This window comes from Homo sapiens, chromosome 7, assembly GCF_000001405.40.
Source record: "Homo sapiens chromosome 7, GRCh38.p14 Primary Assembly".
Classification (NCBI taxonomy): domain Eukaryota; kingdom Metazoa; phylum Chordata; class Mammalia; order Primates; family Hominidae; genus Homo; species Homo sapiens.
In genome coordinates this window covers 155,761,995-155,781,911 of record NC_000007.14, presented here as the reverse complement: position 1 = coordinate 155,781,911, position 19,917 = coordinate 155,761,995, and the positions used below count along the sequence as shown (strand labels likewise).

At 46.1% G+C, this 19,917-nt stretch overlaps 1 protein-coding gene across 1 annotated transcript in view, besides 4 other annotated features; it reads right to left on the bottom strand.

Annotated features, from left to right (window-relative positions):
• Nucleotides 163-457: a silencer, noted in NCBI's record as "tiled region #3765; HepG2 Repressive DNase matched - State 16:ElonW, and K562 Repressive non-DNase unmatched - State 17:Gen3'". NCBI's record gives its function as "represses a minimal TATA promoter and a strong SV40 promoter by Sharpr-MPRA in HepG2 and K562 cells {active_cell/tissue: HepG2 | K562}" and the evidence as "EXISTENCE:reporter gene assay evidence [ECO:0000049][PMID:27701403]".
• Nucleotides 432-19,917, bottom strand: part of RBM33 (RNA binding motif protein 33) — a 136,820-nt gene continuing 117,334 nt past the window's right edge. The window contains exons 15-18 of the mRNA NM_053043.3: nucleotides 17,894-18,100; nucleotides 15,257-15,445; nucleotides 7,265-7,353; nucleotides 432-6,919 (exon numbers count right to left, since the gene is read on the bottom strand). Of these exons, the coding sequence (NP_444271.2) occupies nucleotides 6,871-6,919; nucleotides 7,265-7,353; nucleotides 15,257-15,445; nucleotides 17,894-18,100 (534 nt within the window). The 3' untranslated portion in view covers nucleotides 432-6,870. The remainder of the gene's footprint in view (nucleotides 6,920-7,264; nucleotides 7,354-15,256; nucleotides 15,446-17,893; nucleotides 18,101-19,917) is intronic.
• Nucleotides 5,797-6,996: an enhancer, noted in NCBI's record as "CDK7 strongly-dependent group 2 enhancer chr7:155567610-155568809 (GRCh37/hg19 assembly coordinates)". NCBI's record gives its function as "activates an origin of replication core promoter dependent on BRD2, BRD4, P300/CBP, MED14 and CDK7 cofactors, with strong dependence on CDK7, by STARR-seq in HCT116 cells {active_cell/tissue: HCT116}" and the evidence as "EXISTENCE:reporter gene assay evidence [ECO:0000049][PMID:35650434]".
• Nucleotides 13,297-13,490: a silencer, noted in NCBI's record as "fragment chr7:155561116-155561309 (GRCh37/hg19 assembly coordinates)". NCBI's record gives its function as "represses an EF-1alpha promoter that drives an FKBP-Casp9 reporter gene in an ReSE screen in K562 erythroleukemia cells {active_cell/tissue: K562}" and the evidence as "EXISTENCE:reporter gene assay evidence [ECO:0000049][PMID:32094911]".
• Nucleotides 17,854-18,013: an enhancer, noted in NCBI's record as "active region_26902". NCBI's record gives its function as "activates an Ori minimal core promoter by ATAC-STARR-seq in GM12878 lymphoblastoid cells {active_cell/tissue: GM12878}" and the evidence as "EXISTENCE:reporter gene assay evidence [ECO:0000049][PMID:35858748]".

Sequence of the window (19,917 nt, the reverse complement as noted above, 5' to 3'; positions counted from 1 at the left end):
GGAAGAACGGCGTCACTGGAGACTGAGCTTCCCCACCTTCAGTCTCTTATTGCCATGCTGGAATACAAGTCTCTTCTGAAGAAAACTTGTAAAAATTATCTATAATGCTTTAAAAAATTAAAAAGACTAACTCCCCCACCCCCAACCAAAAGGAGCATACTTTGATGCCGTCTGCCTGGTCAGTTCGGAGTCATGCAGCGCCCAGAATGCAGGCAAGGAGGCGGCGGCTGCCCTTGACCTTCGTGGCCCACTAATGAGAGAGCTGCGTGAAAGCCGCGGGCTGCAACCCAGCGGCCAATCTGGGGAGCGTGAGGGCAGCCCCCGACCCCGGCCCCTTACAGAGGTGCGGAAGCACCGTCTCGGACACACAGGTAAGATGAGCTGTGGCCCGACCTGAGCGCCCAGACAAAATGAAGGCTACGGAACCAGAGTGGAAACTGCAGGGTTTTATTAACACGACTTCCAAATTACATACAATATAGTTCAAACACATTTTTTTGGTACGAAATCACACAAATGAAACACACAACAGTACATTTTCCTTTCAACTACGTCATTACCATTCTTCACACAGATCCTGAAAAAGTTACCACAGCAGTTAACGCGAAGTGAACAAAGGGGTGGAACAGGCAACGGCATTCCCCCAAGGTAGGTGTGGTGTGTCTGGGAGAAAACAGGATGGAGATCAAACCCAGAGAAACGCACTCCCGTCATCTCTCCATGTCTCAATTTCCAACGCTCTCCCAGTCAACACAGCTTCGCCCCCAACCAGAGCCACCCGGTGCAGCCCGCAGAGTGTACACGCATCAGGGCCGGGAGGCCCCGTCGGCAAAGCAGTAACACACGGTCAGACGGCCGCCACCTCCAAGTGGAGTGAGCCACGCTACCACTAACACTGAACTCAAGCACAAGAGCTCCTGCGAAAGCAGAGGGGCGGGAAACAAAGAAGCGGGTGGTTAAGGGCACGAACCGCACACTGCGGGACGCCGGCATCTTTGAATCGCCACTCACTCCTACAGAGCCAAACTGCAAAACAACAGAATTAAAAAGTTACTCTCTCCAATCAAAGACCTGGAGGAATAAATCGTGAGTGAAGACCTGTCGAAGCAAAGGTTGAGAGGTGATGGAGTGGTAAACACAGTGTGAAAATCGTCAGCACCTTCCCACCCAGCCCACGTGGAGTTCTCAAGGCTGAGGCGGAGCAGAGTGGCAGGAATACGGCCCTCACCCAGTTGAAGCCAGGAGGTGGAGGGAGAGGAGCATGGAAAGCCAGGGAGATGGGAAGGTCTGAGAGAGTGAGTCTTGGAATGGGACAGGAGCTACCAGTGTTAAGAATGGTAGATGGGTTTAGCCAGGAAAGCAAAACAGAAATGGACAGAGAGGGAGAGCCCAGAGCATGGCATGGTGAGGTGATCCCATTACTAAATGAACAGTAGCAAGAAGCAGGCACGTGGAGCAAACAGAATCAGCTCAGACATGAAAAAGGTCACACTCTGTGCTTTGCTGCTGTGGTACCTGAAAATTAAACAGTGGAATTAAAGCCCCAGAGTTCAAGTCCTCACAGAGGACACCATCCTGGATCCCACGCCTGTGAAAAGCAAAGCTGGATTATAGAAACGAGCGGTGGCTTTTTTTGCTCCTTCGGCTCAGGGCACCCCTGTGTGCTGTGCGCGCGTTATTGAAAATGTTACCCACCTAAGAAAAGACTACAGAACGCATACAGCTAGAACGCATACAGCTTACACAGTCCTTGCAAAACCAGCTTCCGCCACGGGTGCCCTTAAAATGAAAAGCAGTTTAAAAGAAAATCATGCTAAAAGAATGCATGAGGTCTACTTTCTAGAGTATATTAAATTATTAAATACAGAATACATTACAATAGTACCTGTCTGCCTATCCACTCTATGGAACATATTAAAATAAAAAACTACATGCTGTTTCTTTTTAAAGGCCTACATTTTTCTATATACCTTTTAAAATCAGTAAAATAAAACCAAGCAAAATATCAACATGAAGACCTCCTTCTCTTTTAGTTGGTTAGAAGTCAAAGGAAAAAGCAAGTACTCAGAAGTGTCTCACTAAAATACCTGTTCCGTCCGCCAATCTTAAAGATTTCCTACCAAAACATGACACAGAAAAGAGAGAGTTGAGACATTAAAAGCATTTTCTAGCCAAGGCAGGTTACAATGTGTGAGGCAAACGGCCTTTTCCAGCCATATGCTACCAGCAGAAGGTATACCTGGGGATCCAATATGAATCAGTGAGTTCCGCTTTAGTTCCAGTACACAAACCACGGGCTTATGCACCTCAGAAGTTAGGCATTTAAAAAAAATTAAATAGGTTGCAAAAAAACCTTACATAAAATCCTTAGGATTTAATATTAAGTCAAGGCTAAATGCCTTTGGAGAATTCATATTTAAGAATGTCCAAAATAACACTCCATTCACAAACTTTAAAAATAGCTGAAAAAGTTAACTGAAATGCTCTTTAAATACACTAAAGTATCTAAGCCTCTCCCTAGTCGATCTGGACTAGCGGCTTTCCGAGTGGTGGTAGTCGGGTGCCTCCGAACCTTTCCTGCCCTGCACACACTCCTATCAGTCAACTCCCTGGTAGAATCGTCACCTCTAATTTTTTGAAAAACCAATAATACCTTTCGAGCTTTCTCTCGCCCACCCCCCTCCCTCCCACTCCAAATTAAAAAAAAAAAAAATGGGGTGGAGGATCATAGCTTAATGAAGGGAAGCCAACCTGGGTCTAAAAGCGATTACGTCAAGCCATAGCTGAGGCCTACAAGTAGGGAGGGAGGGTAATAAAAAAACGAATCCCAGGAAGAGCACCACGAAAGCGGGAAGCCTGAAGTCACCCACAAAGGGCACTGCAGACACCGCACCAGGAATGTTTCTTAAGAGCTGGCAGTCCTCTCCAGGGAGAGAGCAGAGGAGGGGAACAGCCGCAGGGACTAGAGAGTTTCTAGGACTCCACGATGTGCCGGCACAGCATGCTGCCATCACACACGCTGACCTCCTTGTCCTGTGCAATTACATGACTAGGACCTGCCTTCGACAAGCGTCTGATGGTCTATGAGCACATTCCGCTTACCTTCCCAATAAAATAACAAAGAAATACAAAACAAAACAAACAGAACAAAACAAAAACAACAAAAGCCAAAAGAAAACAAGTGATGAGTGATGAGTTCTTCAAACCCATCCCAGGACAAGGCTCCAGGGCCTCGGGGGTCCCTCACCTGCCCTACCTGAACTGTCCCAGCTGATCACCACCCAGTGAAGACGTTCCCCTCCCCCACTCCTCCAGGCCATCCAGCGGATGCCCCTGTGCCGCCAAACACCCTGGCCCAAGGGCTCTCAACTCCACCGACCGGACTGGATGACCTCCCCTGATAAGCCAGTGTGTTAGAAGCAAGTTGATTATTAACACTGAGATGACAGCTTCCCCAATCCCCAGGCCTCTCCTCACCTGGGTCTGTCCATCCCTTCCTCCTTTTCACCCTAAACTCCTCTTCCACCTCCTTCAGTAACAAAGCCTTCTGTTCACAGAACTGAGCAAGATGCTGTTTGAAAAAAAGACCCCTGGGTGCAGGATCTAAGCTCTGCCACAATTCAGAAATGCCACAGAAGCAAGCTTCAACAACTGTTTGCCTGAGACCTTTACAAATCATGCTAAGAATGACCCATATTAAAAATAGTTATGGTGAAGCCACCTCCCGCCCCATCCCATCTCCTCCAGCAAGGCAGGGTGCGGGTGCCTACGGAGGCTGCTGCCTGTCCACAAAACAGAGAAACCCCTCAAAATTTGTCTGGAAAAATGATGAGATTTACTCTTTAGAAGAATATCAGTATAAGGATTTAACAAACGTGGCCAGACCAGTGGTAATGCAAGGTTATCTAAAGTAGCTAAGTGAACTTCTATTACAGCACAAAACCAAAACAAGATAATGCAAAAAGAAAAGAAGTAACTTGGCTCCACATAATCAGCTATTGGTTTACCTTATGAGATACTGATATTTACGACCTTTAAGCTTCTTGAATTTGTGAACAAATAATACACAGATCAGGATAAATGTATTGACTTACTACCATCTTTATAAAAATCGAATATACACACAAACACATCAACAACTGTGGAACTGTATCCATTAAACTTTGATAAGACAACACAAAGAACTAATAGCTAAGATGTGGCTGAGTTGAAAGCACTTCCAATAGTATTTTAATTTTAAAAGGTCCATATTTACATGGTATGCTAAATGCTCTTGCATCTCATTTTAAATGCATGATGAACTCAAGAACAAAGATAATGGTTGCAGCAGATCTTCCACGAGGGTTTGGCTGGTGTGGGCTGACTTCACGTGAGCAGCATACCAAACACCTAAGTACCATTCCTTTCTCATTCTGCTTCTTTCCTTTTCTGTAGTTTCCTTCAAGGAAACTAAACCTTCATTACTGGGATTGTCTGGTACTAAGAATCCATTTTCGATGGTTGTGGGTATTGAGTGAGGTCGGACTGTGTTGGACTGTTCTAATCAGCGCTTTAAGGCGGGCCTGCATGACTTTGCCAATCACCTTTCAAGAACATTCTATGAGAAAGTCTGCCTATGTGCACGTGTAGACAGTTAGAGAAACACGCACACCCCAGGGCCTGTGTCACACTCAGGTAACACCAAAACAGACCTTCCAGTGGCCATGAAGTCCACCTTAACAATGAAGGCCCAAACAGGATCCGTTTTATTAACACTGACTACAAAAAAGTCTGTTTCAATGCCTACTTTTCAGAGACAACATGCATATTTTTGGTTTTAAACACAGCACACTCTATTTCAAAAAGTGTTTAAAAAAAAAAAAAGTCATGAAACTCATTTCATTGTATCAGTAAGCCCTCAATGATAAAGTAAGTCGGTAGGCCTTCCCACTGCCCAGTGGGTACTGAGTGGTTTGGATCTCTCTTAATTAGAGCTCAAGGGCTACCAAAGTCACCACTCCAACGCAGCTGTGGACTGAGCCAAATAAACTAGACGAAATACATCAACACATCCGTATCTAACTGTGGAAATGAGTGGGCAGTGACAGCCATGGGAACCTGCTGATGGGCACACAGACCTGCTCCCTGGACAGCCTCCTGCAGGCATGGTGAGGCAGGGCTGACTGGCAATCCCATCTTCCGAGGGTTGGCTGGGACACTCTGGAGCAGAGGTGGCGGCAGCACAGCTGCAGGGTCCTAGCAGATCCTACAAGCGCTGTGGCTTCCTGGGACTGACTGCTGCAACAGCCCCTGCAGCGTGCAGTGTTACTCTCAAGCACACAGCAAACGCCACTTTAGAATCACTGCTACAGAAAGGATCGCAGGGTCTGGAAGACCTGCTTCAGCTCTTCAGTTTGTTTTGGTAACTTAATTTGAGAAAGTAATATAAAACGTCAACTGTGGAAACGAGATGACGCAAGTCTGTGCCCGTCTCCTTAGTCCCTTCCTTCTAGGAGGCTGAGAGCCCTAGCGCCATGCTCCCTCCAGGGGCAGTAAGAAAGAACGGGCTTCTATTTCCCTTAATTCTATTAGTAAATGTGACATGAAATCGTAGGTATAAAAGGTAGCTAAAATGTCTGAGTATGCCCTATCATTATTTGCTCAAATAGCTCAGGTCCACTTTAGAATATATCCAAAATAGTGAAACTCTTTCATGAGCAGAAATACTGTAAGGCACTTTTTTCAGTGTTTGCCCAGAATGAATTCTACTACAGTAGCTTTATGGAGAATATGTCTCACCTACAGGAACCTACCCGCAATTACGAAAAGCAGTTTCAATGATGACACAGACTCGTCTCATTTGGGGCTGGAAGAAAGCCACCCTCACCCCGCATGCCACGGGGAACGGCAGGCCAGAGTGAACATCCGCTGATGAACAGGGCAGCCCTGCTGGAACAGCCTTCAGAAAAACAGAGGTGACTGAAGCAGTGGCCACCAAATTCCCAAAGAATGTCATGTATCACAGAGCCAGTGATAAACAGGCCACCTTACTGCATTTAAAAAGGAAAAAAACAGGTCTGTTCCACCTTCAGGCCATTCCACCACCTCATGTGTGGTGGGAACTAGGCCAGAGGGCTGCCAGGTGAGGCCATCACAGACCCTGCTCTAGCCGAGGGCCATGCCGTGTGCCTGTCCAGCACATTGCCTTATCTGGGAAGTGTGTTAAAAATGAATGGGGAGTTCATCGAAACTAGGAACACAGAGTTGACGCTTTTGAAACAGTGACAAGAAGCAGAATCTGCTGTTCAACTGGCACCACTCCCAACCACCCCACTCACACCCTGGCTTTCCAGGGTATGCAAAGGTCAATCAACAATCACCCAAATTTTAATCTACATTTTGTACAAGAGCCTTTTGAGGGCTGAGAAGACAACTCGAGTTAAGCTTGGTTGAGAAGACTCTTCTAACCTGCACTGAAGATAAGTGCAACCATTATCAAATATTCTTTGCTGTGAAAACTACTTAGAACTTGTGACGTTAATGTTCTTTCCTGAATCTAAGTCACTGTGATCGATCATAGAGTCAGACCACAAAGAACAATGTCTACATGCATTGTAAGCACTTTGAAAACAAAACAAAACGAAAAACTTGGAGTTCTTGGTGGTGACAAGAGAATGTGAAGCAATCTAACACCAACTCCAGCCTGCTGTGTCCTGTCAGTTCGGCTCCTCTGGAATCAGGCCCGTGGCTGGCTGGCGCTCTGGAGAACAGTTACGCAGGACAGCGGCCCGGAGAGACCTGTGCTCCTGGGGGTTCTGCGCCGGCCGGCAGCTCCCTTGAAGAAATTCCACAGTGTGTGTACAGCCTAAGGTCAGGCTCTCTTGTTAGGACTCACTCCACGATCAGGGCCACATTTATGTGGGACAAATCTATCATATGCCTGTGAAAATTTAAAGAAACGATCGACACTAACCCTGCACATCGGCAATCAACCTACCAAGGTGGGAGGAAACTAAAAGAGCCCGGTGGGTCCTGTTTAATAAAAACGCATCATATAAAAAGGCAGATTCCCCGGGAAGATCTATTAAAACACAAGGGGCAATTCTCCACCAGACAAAAGGACGCGCGCCTCATGACAGGATCACCGTCTGCGCTTTGTGCCCTAGTGTCCTTCTACAGGAACAGGTGGGGACACACGCTTGCTACCATGATGGATGGGAGGGCACAGGAAGGAGGGCCTTGCTCCCGCCCCCTTATCACCACAAGCACAGAACACACTGGTCACCTGTGGAATTTCTGCTGAAATGCTAATGCGTGGGCTGGCTCCTTGAACTTAGCTATGGCTTTCCGTTGCTGAGGAAGCATCTGTAAACTCTAGAGGAAGAAAACAAACACTTTAAGATCAGTTGTAAATGACAATAAAAAATATGAATATATATATTTAAGCATTATTAGTTTTAACACAAAATGAGTCCAGGCGGACATTTGGAACACACTAATTGATTTTCCTTTCTAGCTCCCTGGCAATTTGTCTTACTTATCTAGATAATCTACTCCAAAACAGTGCTTTACTAAATCATTCCCAACAGCAACAGTTACATCTTCCAAGCCTAGTGTTAAGGCCTCCCATCATCTGGCCCCATCAGCTGCCCCAACCTGCTCTGGGAGACCGGGTAGCAGGTACCCTTGGATAGAGACATCTCCTCTTCTCACGCCTTCTTATCAGGTGATTTTTAATAGGGACCCCCATGAATTTTTTAAGAACAGGACTCATCACACCAGAGGAAACTGTTTAGTATGGGGGCCCCACAGCCCACAGTAGGCAATGGCCCCTAGTCTACCATCTCTGTGCATCTGGCTGGGCCATGGTGAGGGCAGTGGTGCCTGGGGCAGACATCAGCATAACGTGGTCACATTTTGTACTTTAAGAGTTTGTGAACACCAGTCTTAAACAGTGGTATCTGAAATGAAGTCGCCACCCACTGGCCTAAAACAATGCCAGTGAAAAAGAAATGAATTTATGAAGATTGGCCAAAAGAAATGATGAATCCAGTAAAGATTTACAGAGGAAGTGTTTGCAAAGCGAAACTTACATCTAGTCCTCAAATCTGCTGCCTGAGGAAGAGGGGGAGCTGCTTTCTGCTTTCTTAAGCCTTTAGGATCTAGAGCTGGGAGGGGCAGGCAGGAGGAGAGCACAGCCATCTGTGGATCTGTTCAGTGGCGCTCTGTGAACTCTCAAGCAACTCAAAGCTCTAGAGTCTGGTTCTTCTCAATTACCTCAGGACACAGTCAACTTAGTACCTGCTGTCTGGAGCACGCACAGGAGCCCCTGACTCCTTTTTTTTTTTTTTTTTTTTTTTTTTTGGAGATGGAGTCTCGCACTGTTGCCTGGGCTGGTGTGCAATGGCAGGATCTCAGCTCACTGCAACCTCCACCTCCTGGGTTCAAGTGATTCTCCTACCTCAGCCTCCCAAGTAGCTGGGATTATAGGCACCCATCACCACGCCCTAGCTAATTTTTTGTATTTTTAGTAGAGACCGGGTTTCACTATGTTGGCCAGGCTGGTCTCAAACTTCTGACCTCATGATCCGCCTCTGCCTTGGCCTCCCAAAGTGCTGGGATTACAGGCATGAGCCACCGCACCTGGTGCCCGATTCTTCTAAGAACAGGTGTCCCTGGGCAGGTCCTGGCATGGGCACCAGCAAACACTGTCCTGAAGGACTGCATTCAGCAGGCACTTTTGGTGGCCAGAAACTATTTGCTGTGTCTGAGCTTCTGTTCAGTGAAACAGAATAGCTAGAGAAAATAACTAACTACCAGCACATGATCCCTTGAAAATACTGAGGCACATGTGGCCATTTCATTTTAAAGCATGTCAAAGAGCTACAATGGAAGCAAACAGCTAAAAAACATCAGTGACTTGGAAAGTGTTTTAAAAAGTTACACTGTATATGAAATAACTGCTCTCCATTTTAATAACTATAGAATGTCTATCAGTAAACAAGACTAGCAGAGCTCTAAAAGAATACTCAAACACTCCCGAAAAAGGTGTCTTCCAGTGCTTCTACAACAGCGTTTACACAGAAATACAAAGGTTCAAGTCTCCAAATTCAAGGGCATCAAGAAGGCCTGCGCACAGGCTACCCCAGAAGCATCGGCCCTGGTCTAGGGACATCACTGAGACAGGCCAGCAATGAGGCAGCCCACTAGGCAGTAACGGAATTGGTCTGTTTTTTTCTGAAACAAGTTCAGTAAAATATCAGACTTTCTCCCTTCTTTCTGAAATAAAAAATGAATACAAAAGAAATTTGATAGTTTCACTTGTCATTAAGTTAACAGGAAAAGTAAAGCCCCACAACGTGGTCTCCTGGATACATTCTCAGCAATATGGCTTGCAATATGGCTTTCTGGACTTTGAAATTCCGCCTGTATTTCTTGACAGAGACCTGTTTTCTCTCCCAATCTGCCAGACTCATATTTCAGCATGCACCCCTTTTGTGTATTAGCCTGTGAATGATACTCAGTCACTGAAACAATAGAGCAACTTCCAAAGAGAAAATCCTATCTGTTCTGTTCCCAGGTAAGGGGCTGTGTGGAGTGAGTGTCACTTGTCCATCCCAGCCTAACCCTAACCCTAACCTAACCCGAACCTAAACCCTAACCCTAACCTAGGTTAGAGCTGCTGCAGCCGTGCCTCCGGGGTTCTCTCCGTTCTTCCGGCAACAGCACCAGCATGCTCAGTGCTCCAGGATCCTGGGGGGTTTAAACAACACTCAAAAGTGACTGAAACAGTTTCACACAACAGCTGCCAATACTGCAGCAGAGCTTACTGTGAGAACTACAATAATGGACCTTCTCTAAACTTATCTTGTCTAAAAATATAAAAATTCCTTCATTAAGAATGGATAAGGAAAATTTCATATATCATAAAACAATGATCAACATTCTGCAATTCACAGATAGAATCTGGATTTTGGAAGTACTATACTCAAGTGAGGGCCTGTCTCCACAAAAAAAAATCAAAAATTAGCCAGGCCCAGTGGTGTACACCTCTAGTCCTAGGTACTCAGAAGGCTGAGGCGGAAGGATCCCTTGAGCCCAGCAGGTGGAGGTTGCAGTGAATCATGATCACAGGATCATACCACTGCACTCCAGCCTGGGTGACAGAGCGAGACTCTGTCTCCCAAAAATAAAAAATAAAATAAAATAAGAAAAAAGAAAATATCATGCAGTTCTTTTGGGAAATAACATTTCTAGATATATGTGGTGACTTTATTTCCTTTGGGCAATTTCACAATGTGAAATGAGGGTATCAGGCTGCCAATCATACAATATTTGGTATCAGGTTTTACTTGTAATCTACGTAGCTTAAAAACCTCGATTTGATTGAGAAGCTATCCGTGAAGAAAGCATTAACTTCCAGTGAGATTCTTCAATCAGAGGAATGCCTTGGTTTTCAGTCACTCAACATAATGAACAAGCGTGCTGCCCTAAAATTTGCTTCCTGTCTACCCTCTCTCCTTACATTTTTGTACCTTCTTTCAGAAATAAACCCTGTTTTCTAGATACAAAATTGTAGAAATTGTCAATATTCAACCATTTTTGACCTACCAAAATGACAAGTATTCGTGATTTATTAGGAGCAGAGGAAAAGAAACTTTCCAGTGAAAGCTTAAAGACATGGTCGCCAGCTTCCACTGTGAAAATATACACGTCTACACACCTGAGCAACACGCTATCATAGAGTTAAAACTTTTCTTCACCCAGAACAAACCACAAGTTAGAATTTGTCTCAAGTCTACATACTGACCTATGTAAGGACCTCCTTCTTCACCCCCAGCCCCCACATAACGTACTGGCAGGGAGAGGGGAAAGCCTGGCACACCAGCTCTCACCCTGATTGGCTTTTCATTTTTCAGAGACATCTTCAGACAACTTCTGAGGAAATCTCACTGGGCTACTAAATAAGTAGCAAATGCAAGTTAAAAGAATACACTTCAGCTGGCAGCTTCACACATGTGTACCCAGCAATCCCATCCAGAACCGTAAGATCGAATCAACAACCATGCCACCTGGCAGCGAAAAGCTTCCATGTTGTTCAGAACCCGCCTCTTTTCCCCATGAAAAGTTCTTCCTCTTTTGAGGAAGAGTCTGTGCATGTGTGTACATGTCTGTGCATGGCTGTGGTTGTGTGTGTGCATGCATGTATAAAGATAACTAAAATGTTACAGGATTACAACTGATTCTGCAATCCTAAACACCAAGCTCTTTTTCTCCCTCTGGCCAACAATTCTAGCACCTTAAGGAATCACTTAAAGGAAAAAAAAAAAAAAAAAAAGGTATCAGCTGCTTTTAAACACAAGTCAAACTGCTTAAAATAGGCCCAATTTATAAATCATGAGAGATGTAAATTCTTGAGCCCCACCCTAGAGCAGAGTCTGACACTAGAGCGGGTGGGGGAGGCACTCCCTGGCAGGAAGGGCCGAGAGCCCCTGCAGAGCCTCAGTGAGCCTGCTAAGCATTTCTGTATGGAACGGTGTGCAGGACTGGCCCATGGGGCTCCCCTCTACACACAGGTCATTGTGTGACCAACCTCCTGTTGGAAATAGGGCGCCTGAAGCCTGCACACGATTCCAGCGGTGGGCTGAGTGGTAAAGAAAGGTTCACAACAGTGCTCTGGGCAACTCCAGCCCGCACCGAGTTTTCTGCCCCATTTCAAGTTTTCATCTATTATCATAACATGCTGGGTCTTCCTGGACACCAATTCTGGCACTTCCCCTGAATTTCAACGTTTGGGCTCTCCTGCACATCCCGGGCGCGTTGCTCCTTTTGCTCTGGTTTAATTTTAAAACGTCTCCTGACCTCTCCTTTTCCCTTTTCACTCCTGGTTGTCCCATCTTCCCTGTCTTACGCATGCTTCTCCTCTAAAGCACAGACAAGCTCTGTGTTCTCACACAGGTCTCTTCAATCCTCCTCCTCCTTTTGGAATGATTAACAACCGTGTTCTCAGAACCCTGTGGGAGAGCCTCCAGTTAACTAGCTTTTCCGTTGTGGCTTCCCATCATGTGCCCACACACATCTGTTCTTTAAGCCTGTGACGTGGGCTTTTCTGGAATCCGTGTCTGACACTGCTTAGTGTTTTCTTTCTCAATTGTCCAAACTTCAAAACAACTCAGCTGCTCACTCAAGATTCCAACATTTTCTACTTCACCAACCAGGCCTTCCTGCAGTCAGAACCAGACGTAAAGGGGCTGTCTTCTCGGTGATCCACTTTATCTTAGAAGCAGAAGCAGAATCAGTCAGTCAGACGCCGAGATGATCCCACCTTCCACCGAGTTCACAGGGCCTCCATGGTGGGCTGAGATCCGCTCTGCAAAGGGCAGATTCTTCTCTGAGCGGTACTCTCTACATTTCCATGCCTACCCCCAAATCAGCAGCGTCAGGGAGAGGCTTCTGCACTGCATCTCCGAGGGCTCTCCTCAGCAGCCTCTGGGGGACGGCAGCCCCCCTGGCCTTGGGAGCAAAGCTGACTCGGGAGAAGTCGGTCACTAGGGCCCAGCCAGGGAGGCTGTGCGCCCACTCCCCTTCTTCCCGCTGCTTTAATGTGCTTTCCCGCAAGAAACACAGATGACGGTTTCTTGCTTCTTTCAGTTCCTTCCAGATGACACCCAGGAAGAACGAAAGAGTTCCTATGTGGTTTATGAGTAGACAGAAAAAAAAAATATCTAGTCTTCGAAGAATCAAGTTCTTGTCAAGTTACAATTTCTGAAACATGGTTACAGTTCGAAACTTTTTGGAAGACCATCTTCTGGTTATGACATTTCTACGAAATCTTCTCATTCTTCCTCACTGAGTCTATAGATAAATGTCTTTGAAATGGACTTTCTGGAGAGGCTTATTAATGTAGTTTAAGGAAGTAAAACACTAATCTGAGAACAAAACTGGCTACCACATCACTGCTACACTGAGAAAAGTTCTCAAATTCCATGGGTTTAAAAAGTATAGTTAACATGCAGTGACAGCCGGGTGCGGTGGCTCACACCTGTAATCCCAGCACTTTGGGAGGCTGAGGCGGGCGGATCACGAGGTCAGGAGATCAAGACCATCCTGGCTAACACAGTGAAACCTCGTCTCTACTAAAAATACAAAAAATTAGCCAGGCGTGGCACGCGTCTGTAGTCCCAGCTACTCGCGAGGCTGAGGCAGGAGAATCGCTTGAACCCGGGAGGCGGAGGTTGCGGTGAGCCCAGATCGCACCACTGCATTCCAGCCTGGGCGACAGAGCGAGACTCCGTCTCCAAAAACAAAAACAAAAAATAACATGCAGTTACTAGAATCTTCTAAAATTAAAAGGCCCAAAGGAATGAATATAGGTCCTCCTGGTGTAGACACCACCTGGCATTACACCAGTGAACACTAGGTGGTGCCATATCCCAAAGAGACAGAGACTCGACACTATTCCAAAACATTTAGGATAAAAAATATTTGTGGCTCACGCCTGTAATCCCAGCACTCGAAGGAAATGGAAGCAAATGGAAGGAAAAAGAGACCATTTAAGAGGTCTATACAAACCCACGGTACAAAATGCAAAATTCAATTTAAAAGACAAGACAGAAATTAGCTGGTTTGGCAATGACTCCAAGCATATTCTCACAATGTAGGCTCTGAGCCTCACTCAATGCTGTGAGAAGCAAACAGTACTTGCTGTTCAGGTATGGATCTTGACAACTCGATCACACTCAAAAATATTCAAGAAAATGATCAAGACTACACAGGATGAAGCAAAGTCCACAAAAGTAGCAGGTGACATATGAAAACAACAGTGCAACCCTTCTGCCCACAGGGAAGTGCAGATCGCCCCAAAGACAGGAGGACCAGCAGGACACTGGGCCACACACGTGAGGCCTCGCCAAGCGCACCCATCTGTGGCTCACAACAGACTAGGCTCAGGGTTTTTTCATCTGGACTCACTGCTACACAGTTACTGGACCAGAATTCTCCATCACCATTTATTTTGAGAATCTCAGATTAGGATAACCACATTTTAATCCATCTAAAATGCTCTAGTGTCTACCGTGTTCCTGCAAATTAATCCAGATTATGATCAATTGTTTTGAAATATCCTTAAACATACACTGTACGCTTCTAATAGCTGATGAAGTATTCCTAACTGCACCACTAGGGAGCCCGCTCTATCACAAACAGAAGCCAAGGCTTTGGGTTAACTTTCCATTACTACACACCAATAAAAATGAAACCTATCTCCCCAGGAAGCCAGTAATGAAGATGGCAGCAATTAAACCCAAGTAACATGTATGTTTCTGGAAGAGTTTTCATCTATTCATTTTTAGGAACTGTCAACAGCAGATGGAGATCTAAAACATGTACATTAATTACCCGTATCAACCCTAGTGTTAACATGTTTCCAAATCCACCCATGAAGCTAGAGGCTGTAAGAGATTCTTGAAAGAAAGCACTTTGGACTCCTCAGAACTCTGACATGTACTCTGTGCATCCAAAAATGTCTTATTTCCAAAGTGCTCTGCCCCCAGACACACCAGATCCCACCACGGGACGCACGGTGCGTGGCAATGGCAACAATGGGCACCACAGGTGGCACCTGACGGGGAGGCCAGAAATCGGACTGAACAAGCAGGTAGCTTCTTCGCTGGGTCAGCCTACAGAGACCAGGAGTTTCCGTGGAAAACCCTGTTTCCAGTGGACCTGGAACTGTGTTCCTTTTCATGCATCTCATTTGCAGCCAGCTCAGCAGGCATGTTTCAGCATTAGAGTTAGCCAGCTTTAAATTAAGAGATGAAGATACAATCCAAGATACTGTCATATTTGTAAAATCTAAACCAAGTCACAGCTATTTAGCACATGAAGCTATTTCTGGAAAGCAAGGAAAAGAAGGCTAAATACTTTAAAATGTAATGTTATTACAAATAAAACAAGTCATTTGATAGAACAAAAAATTTTGTATGTATGTGTGCAAGTGTGAACCTTCTATGACAATTAAAAGGATCTCAAAGGATAATCTGTTCAGCTGGGGTATTTATTTCTTAAAATTTATAACTAAGAATCTGAAAATTTCAAAATAAACGTTTGAGGCAAATGTTCTGATACTAAGTATGCACAACAGGTTATTTGTCTTACTTCCCAAGTATTATTTTAATATGAAGTAGCCAACACAAAGGGCACTGTGTTTTAAATCAAGAAATGATTTTGTCTTGGGACACAACTACCCGTGGCACAGATGCCACCCCCAGGCGGCTACCTGAATGGGTCCCACTGACATCAGCAGGCTCTTCAGCTGGGCATCCGTGGTGGACGAGGACAGCCCCTCCACAGACACCACGCAGGGCTGGGGCTTGCACTCCACCACCCGCAGGTTCTGCTTGTTTGGCATCAGGCGCCCCCGGCCCATGGGACCGGCCACTCCTCTGCCTCGTCCGTGCATGATGGCCTGGTGACAACAAAGGAAATACATTCAGAGTTTCAAGCCTGAGCTTCTTCGATAGTCACTAAGATATAAAAGTGAACAAATAACTTAGAATCCATTAAAATATACCATGAGCTACAGGATTTTCTGTAGTTTTCTATCCACTATCAGAGAATGTTTTAATAGCTAAATGAGACAACTATATCCAGCAAGTTTAAGTGTAGGCGGAGGAAGAGGAGGGAGCTGACGAAGCCTGCACCTCTCCAGGGGCCACACGCTTGTGCTCGGTGGGCACTCTGTGTCATCATCATTCTGTGTAGATCAGGCACCCGTCAGGGCTGAGAAACTTGCTGCAAATGACAGTTCAGAATTTGGATCCTGTCCTGAGAGTCCCAGAGCCCCCATTTCTCCTAGTGTAGTATAGGCTGGTTTAAGCAGGACCTGCTGTGCACAGTGCTAAGTCCACCTTACAGTCACAACAAGCCACAGCATCATGTACCTGACTCCGCTGGCAGAGACTACATTTGCTACCCTGAAACCCTCCCAGGCAGATTCTGCAACCAGAAATTCAGCCGTGGCTGCACATTTCCATCGTCTGCAAGCTTTTCAAAAGAAACAAAACACAATTGTGACTGAGGACCCAGGCACTCCCCAAGTATGATTCTGCTGGTCTAAGGCGGGCCTAAGCATTATTATTTTTAAAAGCTGCCAAGGGTTCAAAACTACTGCTCAAGGAACTTTTAAAGAAGAGGAAACTGCTGAACTTTCCCACACTTTCTCCAGATTAGAAAGTCAGAGAGAACATATGTGCCCAATGTAGCCTAGGACAGCGGTGAAGCGCAGAAGGCAGGGTGGTGATGGACGGCACTAGGTTTCCAGATGGCCTACCCGAATCCTGTTGGGGAGTTCGGGCAGAATGCAAAAGTGGCCTCCCAGTCCATCACAGAGAAAGGCAGAAAGTTAGGTGGAAACTGGAATAGAACCTCAGGACTTGAGTGTGCACGCACACAAAAGGAAACGAAGAGAAAACCTCCACATTTCTTAGTACTCTGAAGAAGGCAGCAAAACTATGCCTGTGAATTAAGTTTTAAAACAGTTGCAAGGGGTTATTTCAAGAGAAACCACACTGGAAAATGCACATGAGAAGTTGCAAGTTACAGTTACCCTGGCTGGAAATCAGTAGTAACTAACTAGTCTTCTGTTCTAACTAGAGTAAGTTATGATATTAACAATAATATCTCTAACAAATGCCTACTTATATACACCAGGCACCAGGTTTTTTTAAATGCATCTTCTTATAAGATGCTCAGAATTGCTTAAGTAAGATAGGAAACATCATGACCCTCAGTCACAGGAGCATTTACATTTAAGTTGAAGAAACTCAAGTGTGCTGTGCGTGTGCGCGTTATGGAGGGTGTTTCTAAGGCCTTTCTCATCATATATTCAGGGATGGCACCTGAAGGAAGAAAATTCAGACCACAGCGATCTTTAAAGAAATCCATCACTTTAACACTGGCGTTATCACTGAATCTGTCTACACATCTGTTTTCTAGTACAAAATGGAATTTTGTTTGCTCTCATATCATGAAGTGTTTATGAGATAAGACGAAGTAACTTAAGTACTTCAAAAGGAGCCAGAATAGTCTTAATAGTGACACTACTTCTAAAGTGACGAGATGACGAGGGAGAATGAGCGGGCAGACTTGCCGTTCTCCAGAGCGCAAAGCAGGGCTGCGCCCAGGTCTCCCTCTGCATAGCTCCACCCAACAGGTGCTACTGGCTTCTGCACCAAGAGGGCACTTCACTCTCAAGACTCTGGGGAGCCAGAAAGATGCCTCACTAGAAGCTGAGGGGAAGGGCGCTCTGTCACTTGCGTACGTGACAGGATGTGCTCCCAGTGCACAGACGGCCACTCCAACAGAAAGGGGGATGGGGAGCACCCTTGCTTCCTGCCTCACAGCCTGAGCTCAGAGAAGCTCCTTCCAATCCCCAGGGTTAAGGGAAGGATTAAGCAGCTGGGAACTGTGGCCTAGAGCAAGTTACTTCATTTCTAAAGACCTCAGTTTCCCCTGTCTCAACTGGGGCCATGAGCATGCACTTGATTTCACATTTGTAAAATTTCTGGTGAGTCAGTGAACACAGGAAGGAAAGCATGCTGACACGCAGCAGCAGGCGCTGTCCCGAGAGCACAGCAGATGCTGCTGGGTCGACAGTTCAGAGCGGCAGGAAGCAATCGCACTCCTGGCTGGCTGCGGGTGCTCTTCTGGGTTTGCTCTGTGAAATAAGTCAGGAGAGGAAAAGGCTTTGGTGAAAATGTTAACGCGTTTTCAAAGCCAGAACAAAGGAAATGATGGTTCACTTATGAATGTGAGTACTACTGTGTGCCATGCGCTACAAATTAGAGCACGTCTGAACACTGCCTCACACCGGCCTTCGCGTTTCCAGGGCTGCGTGCGAGGCAACAAGCAGTACCTTCTTCGCCGGGTGAATTCCTTGGATGCTTTTGATCCCTGGAGGGACAGGCGAGTGTGCGTGGGGCCCCGCTGGCAGATGTGGGGGCTGCTGGAGGCCCCCCCTGGTCAGCGTCACCTTGCGGGCAGGCTGTGGTCCCACTTCCGGAGGCTGGGGAAGCCGCTGGGGCTGGCCTTCTGGGTGAAAAAAGCCATCGCTCTCTCCTCCCTGCTGAAACCAAGAAGGCAGCACGTTGTTCAGTGTCTGCTCCACCAAAAGCTCCTCCCCAGCATTAGGAAGCCCACCTCAGCCAGTGTTCACCCACAAAGCAAAACCATTTCAAACAAGTGTGACTCGAAACTTGTCATTTCACTAGAGCCAGTAAGGACATTTCTCATTGGAGAGTGGTCAGGTTCTAACAATATGTTTGAAATTTCAAACACTAAGATGCCCTTTAATTACTATATTCATATAAGAGATCTGCGATTAAAATAAATGTTGTCGAATTCCGTGAAATACTGGTTATTTTCAAAATACTTCATATCCAACACGCATTTTCACTTTCAGCATGCATTATTCACTTTCAAGAGCATTCTTGTTAAAATGTACAGTTTGCATGAGCAGTGGTTTTAAACTCTTAACTCCTATTCCAACCTACCCTAAGAAGGCAATGAGCCCAACTCCTGCTGGTTGCGACTGTAAGTCTTCCAAACCCATCACGGCGCCTTCCACCCCCTGTGGATACGTGAACTTCAAATACTCTGACCTCTCCAATGCAGTGCTCTGAAGCGCCGAAGAGCATCACAAAATACTGGCTAGAAACTTCCCTTCCTTCTGCTGAGTTACAAGTGCCATTAGCAACTACAGAGTACGTGGATTTCCAAGAAGCGCATTTACTCTACGAAGAACCTTAGAAATATCAGGAATCTTATCTTTTGTGTTTTATTAACAGTCTGTTCATCGATCAGGAGGCACGTACACCTTGGAACTGCACCACCAATGTTGTTCATACGTCCAGGCAGCATAAACATGTCTTAGGGTGGTGCCTATCAGCTGCTTTCAGTACTGAGTAGTCTTTTTCCCAAAGAACAGCTGAAGGCTGGGAAAGAACAGCAAGGACGGCAGACACCGCCCTGATGAATTATGTCAGGATGGATGCTTGGACTTGAAAAGGAAGACGGAGGCTTTTATTAGCACGAGGCCCACTCTCAACATCGACAGGGAGGGAGTGTCAGTCACGGGATAGTAAACCCTCCCCACAGGGTGCTTAGCTGTGCCAGTGTCTCCAGGGGCAACCTGGTCAACCAGCTCAGAAGCAGCCCACATATCCTTGTGTCCCGCTCTTCCTACCAAACGTTATCTTGTGGAGACCAAACGGAACAAAGGGCTCTGCAAAAAGAAGGAACATGGGATTGGGGCAAGATGGATGTAGCTTGTTTCTGCTAAGACTGTACAAAGAAACAGGGACTCAAGAAAAGATGAGATGAAAAATGTCACACAGGAATACGTGGCATGAAAATGTCTGCAAATCTTCTCTCTCCAAAACAAGTGTAAGCTGGACAAAATTTTCCAAAACAACATTTGAGGACTCTGGAAATCAAAGAAAATGAAAAGAATGGAGAAGCACTTATTCCTGAGCTGTGAGGACAGTGCAGTGTGTGGCAGCTCCATCAGCACAGAGCCGAAACTCAGTAAGGCCTGAAGTTCCCCAGCAGCACTGGCCATACAGCACCCTCAGAGGGAAAGGCACAGGGAAGCCCATGGGTCTGTGGGCCTCTGGTCATGGTTCAGTTTGGAACAGGCAGCACACCAGCCAGAAATCTGAGAAACCTAATGAGGAAATTCCAGAACGGAAAGTGCTAGAGAAGGCCTAGATGGGCTCTCCCCACATGGCTGCCTGGGAAGCCCCAACCCACACACAGATAACTGGCCATGGGGGGCCATGCAGGGTCCAGAGACCTGAGCACAAGCTCATCCCAGGCGCTGGCTGGCCACTAAGCTACGCAGCAGTCGGGTCAACCCCTAGGAAGCTAGGCTGAGAAATA